This window comes from Homo sapiens, chromosome X (assembly GCF_000001405.40).
Source record: "Homo sapiens chromosome X, GRCh38.p14 Primary Assembly".
NCBI lineage: Eukaryota > Metazoa > Chordata > Mammalia > Primates > Hominidae > Homo > Homo sapiens.
Window position 1 is genome coordinate 21,583,384 of NC_000023.11, and position 19,760 is coordinate 21,603,143.

At 34.3% G+C, this 19,760-nt stretch overlaps 1 protein-coding gene across 8 annotated transcripts in view; it reads left to right on the forward strand.

Moving 5' to 3' along the window:
- Positions 1-19,760, forward strand: part of CNKSR2 (connector enhancer of kinase suppressor of Ras 2) — a 280,272-nt gene that overhangs the window by 208,966 nt on the left and 51,546 nt on the right. For all 8 annotated transcript variants that reach the window (NM_014927.5, NM_001168647.3, NM_001330770.2 and 5 more), the window contains 5 exons: positions 7,189-7,237; positions 7,639-7,811; positions 11,591-11,664; positions 11,941-12,012; positions 17,899-17,966. In NM_014927.5, the coding sequence (NP_055742.2) occupies positions 7,189-7,237; positions 7,639-7,811; positions 11,591-11,664; positions 11,941-12,012; positions 17,899-17,966 (436 nt within the window). The remainder of the gene's footprint in view (positions 1-7,188; positions 7,238-7,638; positions 7,812-11,590; positions 11,665-11,940; positions 12,013-17,898; positions 17,967-19,760) is intronic.

Below are 19,760 nucleotides of genomic sequence, written 5' to 3' on the forward strand. Positions count from 1 at the left end.
ACTTTTTTCTTCCTACATACAATAATTAGAAAGTTAAGAGAAAACATTTTTTGTAAAGTATTTAAAATCTCAAAGAGTTTTACTTGTTTATTTAAAAAAAAAGTGTGGAAGCAGCTATCATCTAAAGTGTTTCAAATTGTTAAGCACCTTCTTTTCTTATGTATAAGAAAGAAGCTATTGGTTTGACTAGTCACTGAAGAAATCTTGGAACTTTGCAGAAAATTACAGTAAGAGGAAATTGCTATTACTGCAACAAGAGAGTACTTTGATTGCAAATTTTTCCTTAAGTGTGTCAATTTGCAACTTGAGAAGAATTTAATAGTAGCTGAGCTTTCAAAATGTAACACAGAAACTGATTTTTTTCACAATTAAAATAAGTGCTTCTGATAATTTGAGGATAAGAATGACCCAAATTACCCTGCCCCCACACTTCTCCATCCAAAAGAGTGGGGAATGAAGTTTGAACAGAACATCTGTGGACAGAATGAAAGACAAATGGTCTTTTCAGGCAAATGTCTGAAAAAGGGATCTTTCATAGCCAAACAGAATACTGTTGCATGCATCGCCATGGTTAAGAAGATCAAAAATACTTTCATAATAGCCTTTTATTTTAGCACATTCTATTTTTATGGAAAGAATTATGATTTCAACACATTCATTCATAACTCATATAATTATTAGCATAAATATCTTTTGACACAGATTTAATGTACTTTTGCCAGGCATATTGTGAATTTAAATTTAAACTGTTAAATGCACTAAGACAATCTCAGTGCAAGTAGTGCTGAAGGAGATTGGATAAAAGGAAATTCTTCTTATCTACCAAAAGGAATGGCCTATTAAAGAACAGAATTTTCAATAATGTATTATACATGGATTCATAGACTTCTTCAAGTTACAACAATCAGCTAATTAAGATTACAACCTGTATTCTTTGCTGATGGTTTGTTCAACATCCATTCACATAACCAGTATTTATTGAGTGCCTACTGTGCTAAGTCTTACTCTAGGCAGAGGACAAAGCAATACATAAAACAGGCAGAATTGCCCTTTTTTAATGGAGTTTATATTTGGAGGAAGTCCAGGTGATAAACAAGAAATATAAATACTTAAGATAATGCTAAATGCTCAGAGGGGAAACAAAGCTGGGAAAAAGAACAGAAAGTATTGAGGGCAATTGGGATAACAATTTTGGACAGGGAAGCTTGGGTAGAATTTACTAAAAAGAAAGCCTTTGTGTAATGACTTGAAGGAGTTAAGGGAGTGAGCCACAACAACATCTGGGCAAAAAACATTTCAGACAGAAGAAACAGCAAGGGTGAAGGTCTTGGGATGGGACTGTACTTGGCATAATCTAAGAACAGCAAAGGTAGCTGGAACAAAATTAGCAAGGGGAGAGCAGTAGGCAAAGGTAACAGGGGACCAGATCATGTAGGGCCTTCAAGTCATTGAAAGGATATAGGCATTTATTCAGAGGGACATGAGAAACCATTGATGAGTTTTGCATATAGGAATGGCATGATTTAAATCATATTTTAACCAGATCACTCTGGCTCTTGTGCTAAAAATTAGAGGGGGCTGGTCTTAGTGGCTCACACCTGTAATCCCAGCACTATGGGAGGATAAGGCAAGCAGATCACTTGAGCCCAGGAGTTCGAGACCAGCCTGGGGCAACATGGTAAAACCCCATCTCTACTAAAAATACAAAAATTAGCTGGGCATGGTGCTGTGTACCTGTAGTCCCAGCTACTCAGAAGGCCAAGGTGGGAGGATCACTTGAGCCCAGGAGGCAGAGGTTGCAGTGAGCCAAGATCATGCCACTGCACTCCAGCCTGGGTGACACAAGACCTTGTCTCAAGATAAATATATATAAATATATATATTTATATATTATATAATATATGTATAAATTCATAATATATATAGTATAAATATATTAGAGAGGGTAAGAGCAGAAGCAGGGAGAACTGTCAGGGGGTATTTCAGTAATCCAGGTGAGAGATTGTGGTGGCTTAGACCAGGGTGGTAATAATAGAGCTGGTGAGAAAAAGTCATATTATAAATACATTCATTGTGAAAACAAAGCTGGTAAAACTTGCTGATGGATTGGCTATGGGGTATAAGAGAAGGAAAAGAGTTAAAGTTGACTCCAAGGTTTTGTACCTGAGCCACTAGGGAGGAAAAAAATGTAATTACTATTTAATAAGATATAGAAGAGTAGGAAAGAAGCAGATTTGGCTGATGAGTGATAGATATCATGAGCTCAGTTTTGTACATATTAAATCCACTCAGTTAGGCAGGCTTTAGCTCAGTGAAGAAGTCCTGGCTAGTGGTATGAATTCTTAAGTTGCTAAAGGTCAGAATTTATGGAACATTCTTAGAAAGTTCGAAGAACTTTCACCCAGATGCTCACTATAATAAACAGAAAGTGCTAGTGAAGGCATTAGAAAGATTTTAATAAATGATGTTTTTGGAAAAAATGAAGATGGGAATTTTTAGAGAATTGGACTTCAAAAATGCTAACAAGAGAAATCCATTTTTGGTGATCAATAAGCGTTACAAGCTTGTGCTTTAAATTCACATACATACACACCCTCACACTCACCCTACCCTAAACACATAGCAATAAAATGAAATAAAAGATATGGTCATGGTCAAAAATGAAATCTAATCTCCAGGCACCAGAAGGAACAAAAATGCTCAGTGATAATTGGGACCTAAAGCCACATATCTTAGGCACCGAGTCCAGAAAAAGATAGAGATGCCTGAGAGTCTTCTCTAATGAGTATCAGAGAACCAATGGACCTCAGCTATGTCGGAAATCTAAAAATTGACTCACGAGGTGTAACCAACTGGGAAGGCAAGCAGAGCTTCCTCATTCATGAGTAAGGAGGTTAAAGATGCAGTTACTAAGAAATAAATAAAGATACAGCTACTTGTATAAAACTGAATTCCTAGGTGTCTACAAGTAACAAAAACAGATACTCAGAACCATGGGCCATGCCTCTCCCACTTGGATTTCATGGATGGAACTGCAACCCATTGCCACCACTAAAACGCCTGGTTAGTGTCCCAAGGAATGGAGGCAGAGACAGCAAGACGCTTAGTTAAGAGGGATGAGTGCAAAAAGAAACATCCCTCCAGGAAGAACCTTCCACCCAAGCTAAAATTCCAAAGCGTCTAGAGAAAATTAATACTTTTTTAAAAAAGGCAATAAACTAAACAATGAGGTGATTTTCTTCACTAAATGCAAATTACAAGAAGGTCACAAAAGCCCTTAAAATACATTTTTAAGTAAAAACAGGAAGGTTAAACAGTGGATATTCAAAAGAGCCACTATCAACTAGATACACTGGAAATGTAAAATATATGAAATAAACACTCTATCGATAAGATAAACTTTAGATTAGATTAGATACAATCAGTGAAAGAATTAGGAAATTGGAAGACAGTAAAATGAATTCCCCTAAAAGGCATCGCAGAAATATGAAAGGATACAGAACATGAAGGACACATGGAAGATAAATTGAGAGGTACCAACATATGTCTAGAGTTTTAAAAAGGGGCTAGTAAAGAAGACCATTTGAAGAGATTTTCAGAATTAAATAACACTTTCAATACAACACAAAAATTGCCAAATAGAGTGAATTAGATAAATTGTAACCTAGACACATAATAGTGAAACTGCAGAATATTAGGGATAAAGAGAAAAATATTTTAGAAGCTACAGAGAAACTAAAGACAGATTAAAACAAGCAAATGACAGTGTAACTACAGATGGCTTAAGAGAAGAAAAATAGATGCAAAAAGAAAATAAAGTAATACATTCAAATTGCTGAGGCCCAACTCAGAATTCTATACCCAGCCAAACTATTATTCAAGAGGAAAGGATTTTCAAACATTAAAACTAGGAGAGTTTGCCACTCACAGACTGCTGTGAAAGAACTTCTAAAGAATATACTTACTTGAGCATAAACTTGGAAGAAGGGTAATCTGAAGCTAATATGAAATATACATGAATGAGATATATTATGAATTTTTACCTCATGAGAAATACACTTACCACGAATGCAAAGATTCTAGGCCTCTTTCATTTTTCAGTTAGTTGTTGTAGCACCTTATATGATCAGCTGTGTTATGAATTACGGTCATATGTCTGTTTTTAATGTCTTGCTCTTATTAAATTTGCATAATCTTAAAACTGGAAAAAATGTACCAATTAAATTTCTGTCACTGACAATGAATAATTCCATCAGTTCTGCTAGAAAAGATGATACAGGATGATAAATTTGCACCTCAGGGGTGCTTACTAACACTGTAGCTGATGACATAAGGAAAACCCTTTCTGGAGATTATTTATGTCCATTATTTATGAATAATGAACAGTTTCTAATATAAGTTTGTAAGGGATCTTTTTGAATGTGAGGCTCTTTTGGATGTCCCCAAGACCACCTACATGTTCAGTGATTTGCTAGAAGAACTCATAGGACTCAACATATAGTTGAACTCACAGCTAGGATTTATTAACAGTGAAACAGCAGGAACCTACAGACAGATCAGTAAGGAAAAAAGACACCTGTGGAATCTAGAAAAATCTATCTGCAGGCTTCCTGTGCTCTCTCCCTCCCATGATAGGTCACACAGAGCATACTCTCCTCCCAGCAGCTAAAATTCAATCACATGTGTGCAGTGTTTCTGTCCAGGGAAGCCCGTTAGAGATTCAGTACCCAAGGATATTGAATTGGGCATGTAGACATCCTCTGCCTAGCAACTACCAAAATTCCAGACTTCCAGAAGGCAAGTGAATAATCAGTGCCCCATGTGGGCAAAATAATCTTATCATTTAGGGAAGCTTCTTATCAGTATAGGGAACTGTTTACCAGCCAAGTTCCTAGATGCCAACCGAGGGCAAATACTGCAAGTAGGCCTTTCTAAGATGGCAACCTCAGGCCTGCTACAGTAACTCTTTTCTGCACAGAGACCTAACTGTATAGTTTTAATAGATTTTCCCATTACTTCCAAAAGCATATAATACAATTAACTTTTTCATTTTAGAAAATGTCAAGTCAATTGGAAAAATAATAAAATCTCTCTTAAGAGAACTTTATTTTAATATTTATAATATCTTTAAAAGACATCTAAGGCTTTGCTTCTTTGAATGATGGATAAATCTGTATTTAATGTCTTGGAGTTTTCAGGTTTCCAGTGCACTGATTATACTCTGCAGTCATGATCTTTATGGAAATATATTTATAGGAAAAGAAAAGATAATCTTGTTAAAAAGAAAACCTGGAGAGTGTAAAATATGTTTCATGTAGATTTTTAGAGTAGACATTCAGGTTCTACAGAATAGCATGCAAAAAGCATAGAAGGTACATTATATAACCCAGTTCTTTCAAGCTGTCTGTAATCTATGTAGCTTTCTAAAAACAAACCACCTCCATCTTTGTCATTTTTCAAAATAATGAGCTGTAAAACTATAATGATTACTTGCAGAAATACAAAGGGAAAAAAAACCCCAATCAGTAATTTTACCATGAAACAATGTAGGGAAAATAACTATCTGTAAATGAGCTATACTTAAGCACACTAGCCTGAGTTATTATTTGAGTTATTATTTTGAAGCAAAGTGCATTCAAGAAAATCAACACAGCATAATGGGTTTTATCTTTTATGCTTTCTCTCAAAATTTGTGAATTTCTATAACCATGCATGCTGCAAAGTTTGATATGTGTGTGTGTATGTGTGTACACACACACACATATACCACATACATACATATTTATAATGCTTTAACACTTAGGTGATTATTTCTGGAAAGCTTTGTATGTCAGCAAATTATCTGACCCTTATCTTTAGGACTGATACACATCCGTAGTACTATGTTCATTAGACTTATATAAATCATATACAGAACAAAAATTATTATATAAGTAGAATATTATTTAATGAGCAATGATACTAAATAATAAAGTATCACAAAACATGAATTTATTGTGAAAAAAGACCAGCAAATTTTATATAAGCAAAATCCAGTTGCCCCTTATAGATATATCTTTGTAAAGAAAAAGAAGAATCTGTAACCTGATTTTCATTTTGAAGGAATATCTGTGAATTAAAAGCACACATGCTATCTCTGTTCCCTTTTAGCTGGCTGATCATGTGAATGTAATGAATCTTATTATACCAGTGAACAATATGGCTTAGTAGACTAACTGGAGCCAGTGATGTGTAGTCATTAATTGAAAGTTAGACCAATCAATATAGTTGTGGGTTTTTCTCTAGACATATCAAGCTCTTCAGGTACTTAGCATGGAGTGAACAGACAGGTAGGTTTAACTGGGATGGATGTTTAGCTTGGCAAGTATGATGCAGCGAGCATGGTCAAGGGAACGATTATAATGGTATCCCATGGAAACTAAGAGGAAAGAAAGAAATACAGGCACAAGAGGGTAGTTAGGTCAATGAACTGGATGCCTCAATGAAGTTTTTTTTTAAGTGATGACATGAAGGTATTAGAGACTATGTAAACCATATGAATTAGATACAGTGGCTGGTGTGTGCTTTAGATATCAAACATATGATTATGGGGGTAGGTAGCTGAGGAGTGGGGAAGTAAATGTTATTAGAACTGAGGAACCAGGGTGCTGACATCATCTACATGAAGATTAGTCACCAATAATAGTGACAGAAGTAGGCATGAGAAAAAAATATTGTTCCAAGTGCTGAAATATGTAGGGACTAAGGAAGTAGGAGAACAGTAGGTGATGGTGGCTTATGTAATAGAATGAACTTCATGTGAACAAAGGATAGTCATATTTTCCTGCTTACTTCATTAGATTTTGTGAGACTCAAATGAGATACTGTCTGGCAAACCACAATATACCCGTGAAAAGGTACAAAGTAGTGTGTATGTGTAAAAGCCTTTAGTTTTACCAAATGCTTTGTGCCCTGATTTCTCTGCCTACAAAATACGGGTAAATATAATATCCTTTCCTGCTTCACAGGAGATTAGAAAGTTAAGTGACATGATGTATATGAATTTGTTTTGAGGCTTTGTGGGGAAAAAGTTCTTCCCCTAACAGTGTTTAGAGTCATCATTTAGCTCTTGAGAGTTCTGTGTAGCGTGCTGGTGCTCTGGATCACACCCTGAGTATCAGATAACATTCTTTTTATCTTTGATTTCAGACATTTCAGCAGTCCTCACTGCAGCACAAATCAAAGAAGAAAAACAAAGGTAAGAAAAGGAAATGAAACCTTTACCTGCTTATTTTGCTCTTTGATAATCCCCAACACACTTCATCCATGCCCTCTTTCTTGCCTGAGCCCAGTGTGGTTTAGAAGAGCACAACCCCCTTGTGCGAAAGCTGCCAGCTTCTTCTTCAGTGCAATTATAATACAAGGTACCTTTTACAACAAATGATCTCAATAAGTTTTGAGAGTGGTGTTACATATTTCTGATTAAGATGTGTGTCACTTATGTGAGGGAAAATATTAAAGATTTTTATATTTTTCTAGTCTAATACAATATAAAAATTTTTAAGATTTTCAAGAACTCATACTTCTTTTTGGTATCTATAGATTAATCCTCTACTTTCATACCTTTGACAAAATTGAAAGAGCATTTCCACCCTTTAGGTCCTATAGCAGGCAAGAGCAAAAGACGAATTTCTTGCAAAGATCTTGGCCGTGGTGACTGTGAGGGCTGGCTTTGGAAAAAGAAAGATGCGAAGAGTTACTTTTCACAGAAATGGAAAAAATATTGGTTTGTCCTAAAGGATGCATCCCTTTATTGGTATATTAATGAGGAGGTAAGATAAAGCACCTTTTGTTTTCTCATCCATTCTCTATCTTTAATCAAAAGAATCATTTTGAGACTTATATTTTAAAATCGTATAATCACCTTAAGGCCAATTCAGTAGACTTCTGCTAGGTATTTTTCAATCCACCCTCTTAAAATGATTGCATGTTGGGGTTCTAGAAAGATAGCTGTCTCAATTATGCTAATGTAGCAACATATCTGAAACACAGATAAAGTGTAGTAAAATTCTGTATATCTAAATAAAAATGCGAAGCTAATCCAAGCAGTAGCTTAACTAAAAGGATTATATGTGGAAATTTGACATTAATTTTTAAATGTCTTGCTTTTGTTCAAAATTTTACACTTTTTTCTGGTTTTTTTTTTCTTTTTAGAAGTGGGGAAGGGGAAGCCCTTTACTAATTTAAGTAAACTAATACCACCTGAATTTATTTCCATTTTTCTTTAAAAATGATCTAGTAGACTAGTTTTGAAAATCTGCAAGTATTCATTTCACTTGGCCCAGTGGGGGGGTATATATATAATACATTTAAATTATTCTTATGATTTTCTGGGGTGTTTTAATATAACAGATTTATATCCAGAGGAGTCATATCAAAACTTATTACGTATCTTGACAGATATGCCAAAAACATTTGTTGATATTCCCTTTATTCTGCATTTGCTTTTATTCCTTTGCTATAGCCATCTACTAGTTCACTTTATTAGTTTTTTAAAACAATGATTTCTGCTATTTCCTTATTTTATAAAAAATGTACATGGCTTAATGTAGTGTGCTGGGTGAATAGTCCAATACTATTATGTTAAGACATTCATCAATTTGCATTTGAATATTGTTGAAATATAATTTAACAACATTATTATGCCTACGATTACAAAACATAATATCTAGATAATTTTATGTTCCCTAGACAGGTTATAATGTAGTGTTATGTTGTGTTTAAGAGTAGACTCAGAAATCATACCACCTGAGTTACTGTGCCATAGTTTCTTCATCTGCAAAATGAGAGTAATAATAATGCTTATCACTGGACTATCATATGGATGAAATGAATCAATGCCTGGCACATACTGAGTGTTCAATAAACATGTGGTAGGCTGGGCCCAGTGGTTCACACCTGTAATGACAGCACTTTGGGAGGTTGAGGCAGGAGGATCACTTGAGCTCAGGAGCTTGAAACCAGCCTGGGTAACATAGTGAGACCCTGTCTCTACAAAAAATTAAAAAATTAGCCAAGCGTGGTGGTGCACGTCTGTAGTCCCAGCTACTTGGGAGGCTGAGGCAGGAGGATTGCTTGAGCCAGGGAGGTTGAGGCTGCAGTGAGCCATGATTGCACCACTGCACTCAGAGCAAGACCCTGTCTGAAAAAAATGTGTGCTATTAGTAACATTTTTCAAAGGGACCTCTCATTTTATTTGTAAAATCTTGAATTAATATTTTTCTATTTAATGTAAATGTCTATATCACCTATATAAAAATATTTGGTTGTTTTCTGTACTTTTGACATTTTTGTGGCAAATCACACAATTACCTAAAATACCCTCTGCTTCGCTAAGTGTGTCTTATTTTAAATGTAGGAAACAAGCCATAATTTTACCTACAGTTTCATTTAATAGATATATATTAAATACTTTTTATATGCCAATCAAATATTATCAAGATATAGTATCTCCATGTTTCTCTTTATTGTAAGGTCACTTGCAGGTTTGTCTGCCACATACTAGATTATATCCTGTCTTTCAAAGTTTAAGTGATGAAAAACTGTGGCCCCTTTTTGTTGAACTAAGTTTCATTCAGCAAGTTATTGTTACTGTTAGCCTTGTGAGAGATGAGTGAAGAATTCTACAGTATACATTGCAAGAAATACCTTTAATATGATAATATTTTTAGGAGAAATGTAAAAATCCCTCATCACATCATTATGGGGAGATAATAACTACCTCAAAATATTTTAAATTGTTCAAAATTTTAAATATTTACATTATGAATGTCAAGGGTAAAGTAACATAGAAATTAAAGTTGGGAAAAGGATTTAAAAATACTGTCTTGTCCTTACTCCAAGATTGGAAGAAAAAATATTCAAATACTGAAAAAGTTTAATACTACTCTTTTTCATAACACATATTCAGTCACTATCAGTAGCATCAGATTTTTGTTTTGCGTGGAAGCTTAGCAGTGAAAGCAGTCATACAAATATACAATCTAAAAGAATCGAGAACTCTTTTTTTCCTCTGTGATAGTGGATGGGAGTATAATCTCACTTGAACTTGATATATAAGGAGCTATGGATATAGCACAGATCAAATGAAAGTTAGAGATAGTAAAACTCAGAGGAGCTTGATCATGAGCAGAACAAGGGATACAATGATTAAAGCATTTAGCAAAAGATAGTTTTAGCTTAGTTGGGATAACTCGTATCTAACATAATATTTTGGATAATTCTTCTGTCTTGTTTTTCCATCCAGCATTAGAGAGAGCAGGATTTTATGGATTTTATTCCATTTTCCAGGTGAAAAATGACCTTTATATATATATAGCACATACCCCAAGCCAGATATTTGAAAGTCAGATTGACCTATTTCATTTGTAAACTCTTGAATGCACAGAATAATTGTTATAAGACGCTGATGAGCTTGCAGAGAAGACAAGAATACTTATATACTGTTGGTGAGAGTATAAATTAGTTCAGCCATTGTGGAAAGCAGTGTGGCAGTACCTCAAAGAGCTAAAAGCAGAACTACCATTCCACCCAGCAGTCCCATTACAGGGTATATACCCAGAGGAATGTAAATCTTTCTACCATAAAGACACATGCACGTGAATGTTCATTGCAGCACTATTCGTGATAGCAAAGACATGAATCGACCTAAATGCATATCACTGACAGATTGGATAAAGAAAATGTGGTACATATACACCATGGAATACTACGCAGCCATAAAAAGAATGAGATTATGTCTTTTGCAGGAACGTGGATGGAGCTGGAGGCTATTATCCTTTGCAAATAAATGCAGGAACAGAAAACCAAATACCACGTGTTCTCACTCATATGTGAGAACTGAATAATGAGAACTCATGCACACAAAGAAGGGAACAGACACTGGGGCCTACTTGAGTAGGGTGGATGGGAGGAGGGAGAGGAGCAGAAAGAATAACTATTGGGTACCAGGATTAGTGCCTGGGTGATGAAATAATCTGTACAAAAAACCCCTGTGACACGCATTTACCTGTATAACAAACCTTCACGTGTACCCCTGAACCTAAAATAAAAGTTAAAAATAATTAAATAAAAGATCATTGTTGCATAATTAGAGAAAATCAAATTTGATAAGAGATTTGTTGGAGGAAAATTGAATCAGTGAACATCCCTATATTTTACATCTGAACATTAAGAAAATAGAAAATTGTGAATTACAAAAGTGGACTACATTTATTTTATATGTTATAGAAGTGTATGTATGTTCTGACCAGAAAATTAGTTATAAAACACATTCCACTTTGAGAATTAAAGAATTTTCCATTCTCATTTTAATATGAAAAAGACTTTTTAAAAGTTCTATACTTTAATTTGTAGTATTCTAAGTGTTCAAAATATATCTTCAATTTATGGAGTACAGCAGGTAAGCATTGAATTCTTATCTCTAAAATGTCAAATTTAAGGAATTAAAGGAACGGATTTATTAGTACAGATATCTAAGCCATAGTTACAGAGTATCATTACCTTCACACCTTTGTATATAATAAACTAACCAAGAGTCTTGGCTCTTCAGGATGAAAAAGCAGAAGGATTCATTAGCCTGCCTGAATTTAAAATTGATAGAGCCAGTGAATGCCGCAAAAAATAGTAAGTTGATTTTATTTGGGAAGAGGGAACGATAGTTTTTTTTTTTAATTTCCAGCTTTTAAATTATAGGTTGCTCATTTAATGCTTTCACATTGAGGTAATAAGAAAGCAGTTTTGTGGGCAGAAAATTGAACTTTTTACTGATTTCTGTCACCATGATAGAAGCATTATATATGTGAACTCGGGTTAGATGTTGAGGTAATTTTGCCCGTCAGAATTATTTGGTTCAAACTTATTTCCCAATTTGTAATAAATGTACTTTGTTTCCTTTTGCAGTGCATTCAAAGCCTGTCATCCTAAAATCAAAAGCTTTTATTTTGCTGCTGAACATCTTGATGATATGAACAGGTAAAGTATTTCAGAGTATGTAGAAGGTCAGTGAGGCCTAGAATTCTAAATTTTCTACAGTAATTCTTAGAGAATAATGTCACTGAAGTTTCTAGGTCAATCAGTTTAAAATAAAATAGACCCAGAATAGCTCCATGCAGCCATATCTAATTTTAAAGAACATCATTTAAAAAGTCAAAATAAACTCGTTAAATATTTTTGTCAAGTTTACCAAGACCATATACAGACCCAAAAAAATCTACCACCAAAAAAAGGGGATTTTTTAAGTTCATTTCAATAATATGTCTTAAAATTGACTCCCAGATGGGGGAAAAAGAGATGTCTACCAAAAAATCGGACTTTTTGAAGTACTGAGTATTTTTGACAGAATATTCATCTCAATAATTCAGGCCTAAGAAAAATTAGTATTTCTTTCTGTCACTTTTCATCTTTCACCTGACAGGACCACAACCAACAAATCAGATAGCTCAGTGGTTACTTGGTGGCTCAGGGAAAACTTATATGTACATTTTTTTTCTTTTCTCATCACCTACCACATTCTGCTTCATGTTAATACTTTGGCTTTTATGAATTTTGTGCTTTCTTCCTTTCTCTTTCCTTTCCCCTCTTCCTTTTCTAGAATTATAGAAATTGAGCTTAAGATTCAAAATTTTCCTCCTTTCTATAACTTACTAGCCAGTACATATTACAAATATAACTTGCCTACAGTTAGGGAGAGGCAGCATAGCATCATGGTCAGGAGCATGGACTTTGCAACCAGACTCTCTAAATCCCAGCTCTACCACTTAATAGCTGTACAGCCTTGGACAAAGAACATGACCTCTTCATTCCAATATAGTAATGTCCAATCTATACAAGAGGTGGATGGGGCTAATAACCAGCCCAATCTCAGCTCTACACTGATTAGCTGTGAGACCTTGGGCAAGAAACTGAACCTCTCTATGCTGAGGTATTAGCCCTTTAATAAAGTGAAAATAAGACTGACCCCTATCAGTAAGACTTTTATAAGGAGTAAATAAGCATACATAAAGGACTTAGAACAGTGCCTGCTAAATTATAAGTACTATATAAATGTTTACTATTAATATATATTCCTTTTATATACGTTGGGTTCTTACTCCATCTACCTTTCTCTAAAACAATTGTACCCAGGCATTTTTAAGCACAAAACTGTATAGCTGCATAAATTTGCTTGAACATACTAAATGAACACTTAATGTCCTTTTATAAATAATCTTGTTCTTTGACATTTGGGAATACAAACATGTTTTTTTTTTTTCAAAGCAAGGATATGAATACAAGTAAATGGCAAAGAAAGATGGTGTTGAGAGCACTTGATTAAAACTTTTATTACTAATAAAGGAATTGAGCCTTTCGTATAGTTTCCATAATCTTCTCTTAATTCATATAACTTATCATTCTTGAAATTTCACACCAAGCTATAAAATTTAAATAGTTTTTTCTCCTTGTTCTCAAAATGAAAATATTTATTCACATTCACATGGAGAAGGAGAGGTGTGATACTCCATTTTATGTTTTAATTATTTTATAATTCCACTGTTCTAGTACTTACTATCCATTTTACCATATGTTAAGCTCAATACCCTTGGGATAAATACGAAGAATTTTCATCATGACCACACTGAAATTAAGTGGCATACATGAGCATATCGTATCTTACAAGATGGATGCACTAGAATCCAGCCAACTCCAAGAATTAATACAATGTAATCATTCACAATACATGCTAATTGGGATCTTTTTAAGCTTAGAAGTTGCCTCTTTCAAAGTGCATTTTATGAACTATAAAATCCTTCTTGGCCCTCATTACCCACCCCAAGTTAGCAGTAGCTTCAAAAGGATGCTGATGTCACTGCTCTTTCCTAATATTTTGTGGCTGTATCTGGTTCGGGATATCGCAGAAACTAAACCAAATTTGTGTGGTTCATTTTGTTGGTTTTCTAAGCAATAGGTGAAAGAAAAAAAGTGAAACATTAAAAAGGCCGTCTCCACATTATACATTTAAAAGTGCTGTTTTATGTAAAGCCTGCCATGGCCCACTACAACTTTAAGAATTTAATTGTCCCAAAATACTGAATTTTATTTTAATTTAATTAAAATGGATTTTTATTGTTTTGCTTTGAATTTTGCTTTCTAAAAAATAACCCTATTCCTAATGTCTACTTTCAATGGGAAGATTTTTAATTACTTGTTAATAGAAGGGGGAAAGAGTCAGTGCTACAAATATTCACAGAGGATTAATGATGGGGAGGAACACCCACCTACAGCTTTGTCAAGTCACCTGACTGTTACATAACAGCAAGATGATCTGGGTGTTGGTTTGTTCTATATGTAATCTTTTAAAAGCATGTATCTAAGCCTTCAAGAGATTATATATTTATAAAAATTATTATAATTATATAATGTATGTGATTATTTCATAATTTTTTAATATCATACCTACTTCTTATGAAAATACACCATGTTTCAGAGAAATATATTTTTCTGTTCCTCATTTAAAAAAAACAAATGTAATGCTGGTGGTGACAGGACCTAGTAATTGGTGTTAAAAAGTTATCCTTACATTTAATTTTCTTCTGTAAAATCATACACATATATATATATATATATACACACACACACACACAACAAATATTTATATATGTGTATACATACACATACACATAGAATATTAAAATATCACCTTCTATTTTGAGAAGCAGTAAGTTTGATTGTGAGGTCATTTGCAAAAACACTTTTAGGCACCCCACTACTGTTCATCTGTTTCATCAGAAATAAGCACTGAAACATTAAAAACTGATTTTTTTCTTGTCTGTGTAAAATCTGTGGGGATAAAATAAAACATCATAGTACTCAGGTATTCTGAAGACTTATTTACTGAATTTGTTTGGCCTATATATTCCTTACCATGTCAGTACACATGTTCTTGTAATTGTGATGACTCACCAATTCCTATTTGGTAATTATTATTTATACATTTCTCTCATGGTTCTTTCTCTTATTTCCCTCCAAACACATTATTCTTTGTCAGTTGTGAATATCTCCTTTGAATGTTTGCTATAGGTTCAATATCACCTTACCTGTATTTTCCTATTTTAAAGCATTGGTGATATGGTAAGGTACTGACTGAATTTAGACCTGCTATTAAATATCTTCCTCATAAATATATTGAATAGATTCTAAATTCAATATTGTATCTCTGACCATCTTACCTAAAATAGCCTTCCCTCATCCGCAGCATCTTTGGCATTCTAATTTTCTAACTTGCTTGCTTGTCTGTTTTTAAATAGCATTTGCTACTATTTCACATATGTTTATTTGCATCCCTGTTTAGTGTTTATCTCCGTCACTAAGATATGGAAATCATGAAGGCAGGCACTTTGTTTTATCTCTGTATCCCAGGTACCTGGCACATATAGCTGTTAATAAATGTTGCTTGAATCAGTTGATGCATATGTGTCTGCTTTCATAATAACCTAAAATATTAAATTATAACTGTAACAAGTAAATCAGTAAGTATCTTCTAGTTTAATCCTAAAGGATAAGTTTATCCAAGATAGCACCAACAATTGTGTTGTATTTAGCCCCTTGTGGCTCTACACAGTGGCCTGAGTATATCCACACACTTTCTAAACAATTTTTCTTCAATTAACAAAATTTTTCTTCTTAAGAATAGTTTAAACTTTCAATTGTCTTGTGAAACTTAGTAAATCTAGAGTTAATTGAAGGCAGAAATTACGTCTTATTTATTTCCGTATCCCTAAAACATAGCTTATTGTTCAGCACATAGCAGACACTTAATAAATGCTGTTGAAGTGAAAAATTGAGCAAGCCCCTTTTTAGTTTCCTAATTTATTTCTTAAGGACCTCTTTGTTCTTTACATTTCTGATAAGATGAAATTTCAGTGTTTTTTTTTGTTTTGGTGTGTGTGTGTGTGTGTGTGTGTGTGTGTGTGTGTGTGTGTGTGAGATGGAGTCTCGCTCTGTCACCCAGGCTGGAGTGCAGTGGCACGATGTCAGCTCACTGCAACTTCCGCCTCCCAATTTCAAGCAATTCTCGTGCCTCAGCCTCCCGAGTAGCTGGGATTACAGGTGCCTGCCACCACACCCGGCTAATTTTTTGTATTTAGTAGAGACTGGGTTTCACCGTGTTGGTGAGGCTGGTTTCGAACTCCTGAAATCAGGTGATCCGCCCACATCGGCCTCCCAAAGTGCTGGGATTATAGGCGTGAGCCACCATGCCTAGCCTTCAGTGATATTTTTTAAAGTAGTAAAGATAAGGCACTGGATTAAAATTCAATGATAAATTTTTCTTTAGTGGTATTATCATCATTTTCACCAAAAAGCACCAGGCCAGTCTTTCCCAAGAGTGGTAAGATATGCCTTGTGGTACAAATTTAACCCCTTTTTCACTGCAAATCAACTTAGACTAAATTTTAACTTTGAACTTTTACTAATGATTAGAGTCATTTTTAAAACATTGTCATGAAGTTTACTTCTTGATTTATAGCTTATAATTTTCTGGATGTGTGTGTGTGTGTCTATATATATACCATGCTACTGAATTCATTTGATAATCTTTATTTTATTCCAGTTCTACTCCAGTCTTTTCTTCACTTCCCAAATGTACCTGAGGTGATAATTACATTGTAGGTTTTGCTAAAATAAAGTTAGGTTTTAATTGACCTATTCTTACAATTAAAGCTTAAATTTCCATAGATGCGATTTTGTCTATTAGAGACAGGAATTTCCTCACTTTTCAAGATTCAAGATATTCTAAGTATCTGATGCACAGTTAACACCATTTGGCATAAATGATGAAATATGAGTCACTTCAAAGAATGTGATCTTTCACTTGACAGGGAAGATAAATGTCTTAGGAGAAAAAGTTCTCAAACACAATTTTTTCTTAAAAATATATCTAGATTAGATTATTCCACAACTTAATGACATTAACCATACTAGTGATTCTGGACATATTCAAGCTAGCTTGAAATGTAGGTTTTTCTTCAATTTCTGATTTGGGAAAGTATATGGATTATGGCTCAGGATTGACCAAAGGGAAATTTGCATGTTGTTTAAAGACTTGTGATTAGATAATCTGATAGTGTAAATAGTTGAAATAATGAACATAAGGAGAGCCCTGGTGGGACAAAAGAAAGACAGTAAAACTGTGCTTTGCTTTAGGCAGTCCCTACATTGGCAATAGCAGCACTACAGAAAGAGCAAAGAACTGAGATTTATTTTTAACTTACAATTGCTCATGAAAATACATGTTCAAGATCTAAACAGATGTTAAAATTGTATAAGTTCATTGTGTCTTTGGAAAACCCCATACCCTTGTATTTAGAGACAAGTGTCCGAAGTACTCCCAAGATGTGTTTCCTGTTAGATTGTTAAATAAGCTTAATCAAAACTATGATTTCATAATAAAACTATTATTTTGACAGGCAAGGTCCATAACTTTTTTCCCTCATCAGAATAAATTGAACCTGATACTGTTTAAATATCTCTAAAGGAGCATTTGCTCTGAAGAAACAGAACAGCAGGAATATTTGGAGTACTTCTACATTTGGAACAATAGAATTAATATGGCTTTGGTCATCTCCAAACCCTTTATGTTACAGATATTAACAGCTTTGCCCAAGACTTTTCTATTGAAGTAGCATCTTTGGTATGGGAGCAATTTGTACTATAGCAAATTGTATCTCATTAAAGATTCTATGTATCAATAGTAGCAAAGAACACATCTTATATGTAGGATTATTCCGTATATTCTTAGACATTTTAAAATAAATGTTTCTAGGAAGTAAAATATAAGAAATTAGGTTACAATGTTATTGATTTTAATATTTGTTTTCTCAGGTGGCTTAACAGAATTAATATGCTGACTGCAGGATATGCAGAAAGAGAGAGGATTAAGCAGGAACAAGGTAAAGGAATACTTTTTTAAAATAATTATGTTATACTTTTTTTCCTGCAGTTATCCTATACAGAAATTCATTGCTATCACTTGAGAGAAAATACATGTCAATTTTTGGTTATTTCTCTTCTAGGCACTTAAGTGAGGTTTAACAACTTATATAGATAGGGACTGAACGCTCAAATTTTTGGAGCAGCTAGTGTGGAGTTCTCTCCTATTTGTTACCCCCTCCTCCCATCTCTTTCCTATGAAGAAACAAAATCTTAAAAATGGAAAAAGTCTATAATAGGTCTTATGATTGAACCAAGTCCAGATCCTTAGCAGTGAGCAATTTTTACTATTTAGCAGTTTTATAGACATTTAAGTGGCCTTTTATGCAAAGAAATGAGATGATCTTTTCTTTCTTAAATTTTCTCATTTGGTAATGTTCTTCAGCTCTGTTACTGTGTAACTCTGTGATCTTATGGAATTTGCCTTGGTATTGACCTCAGATTTATGAAACACAGTGTTATGGTGCAGAATTGAAATCTTAAGAACAAAAGCTGTGGTCATCGTTCTTAGGTGGCTTCACATTTCCCAAAGGGTGTTTGTTGTACATCCCTTGGAAACGTAAATAGGTTTTTGAAATTATCTGTTAAAAGAATCCACAGATTGACATACTTATAAACACAAACCTATTCGTAGTTGTGTCTTCAGTGGGCATAGCCAGTTTATTGATGTGGAGATTCTAAAAGCCTTCTGTTTCCTTTTAGACTTAGAGTAAAATCTCAGCCAGGTTTTGTTTTTTTTGTTTGTTTGTTTGTTTGTTTGTTTTTTTGAAGTAACGTCTCACTCCGATGCCCAGGCTGAAGTGCGGTGGCGTGATCTTGATCTTGACTCACTGCAGCCTCGACCTCCCAGGTTCAACGATCCTCCCACCTCAGCCTCCTGAGTAGCTGGGACCACAGGCACACACCACCACAACTGGCTAATTTTTGTTTTTATTTTTGCTTGTTGTTTTTTGTAGAGACGGAATTTTGCCATGTTGCCCATGCTGGTCCCAAACCCCCGGGCTCAAGCGATTCACCGATCTCCCAAAATGCTGGGATTACAGGCATGAGCCATCGTGCCTGGCCTTCAGCCAACTCTTTTTTAAAAAACACCTGAAAACTAAAGTTTTTAAAGATCTAAAGAAGACAGCCAGATCCCAAAACCAGTATGTCAGCAAATGTTTAGGCACAGATTAGTAAATTTTTTCTGTAAAGAACCTAATAATATTTTGGGCTTTGCAGGCCATATAGTAGAGACTATATGTTGCATAGGCCTAAATTTATGGTAAGAGTACTGAAAAAAAATTAGTGTTCCTTTTCAGATTTCTTTAAAAGGAATAAAACAGTTCTCTGCAGAGACTATACTTGCATAGGCCTAAATTTATGGTAAGAGTACTGAAAAAAATTAGTCTTCCTTTTCAGATTTCTTTAAAAGGAATAAAACAGTTCTCTAAAAGTGTTTATAGATTTTTTTCTGATTTGTTAAAGACAAGAATTAGAAGTGTGGGCAATGTACTGATAGGAAAATGAATCTCTGACTCAATTTGCATAAATATAAGGGAGCTTGGTTCTTAGGCTTAACTTCTGTATTTTATTACTTGGCATTACTACGAACCTGAGCTTCATCTTGATTTTAGTGAACTTCCTTTGTACTTGGTATTATATAGCCAAATTTTATTATGGATGAAATAACTGGTAAGCTATATAGTTGTATTGGACATGCAGGTTCCAAAAAGTATTTAGTCTGTGGATTCGTGATGTATTGGTCTATCATG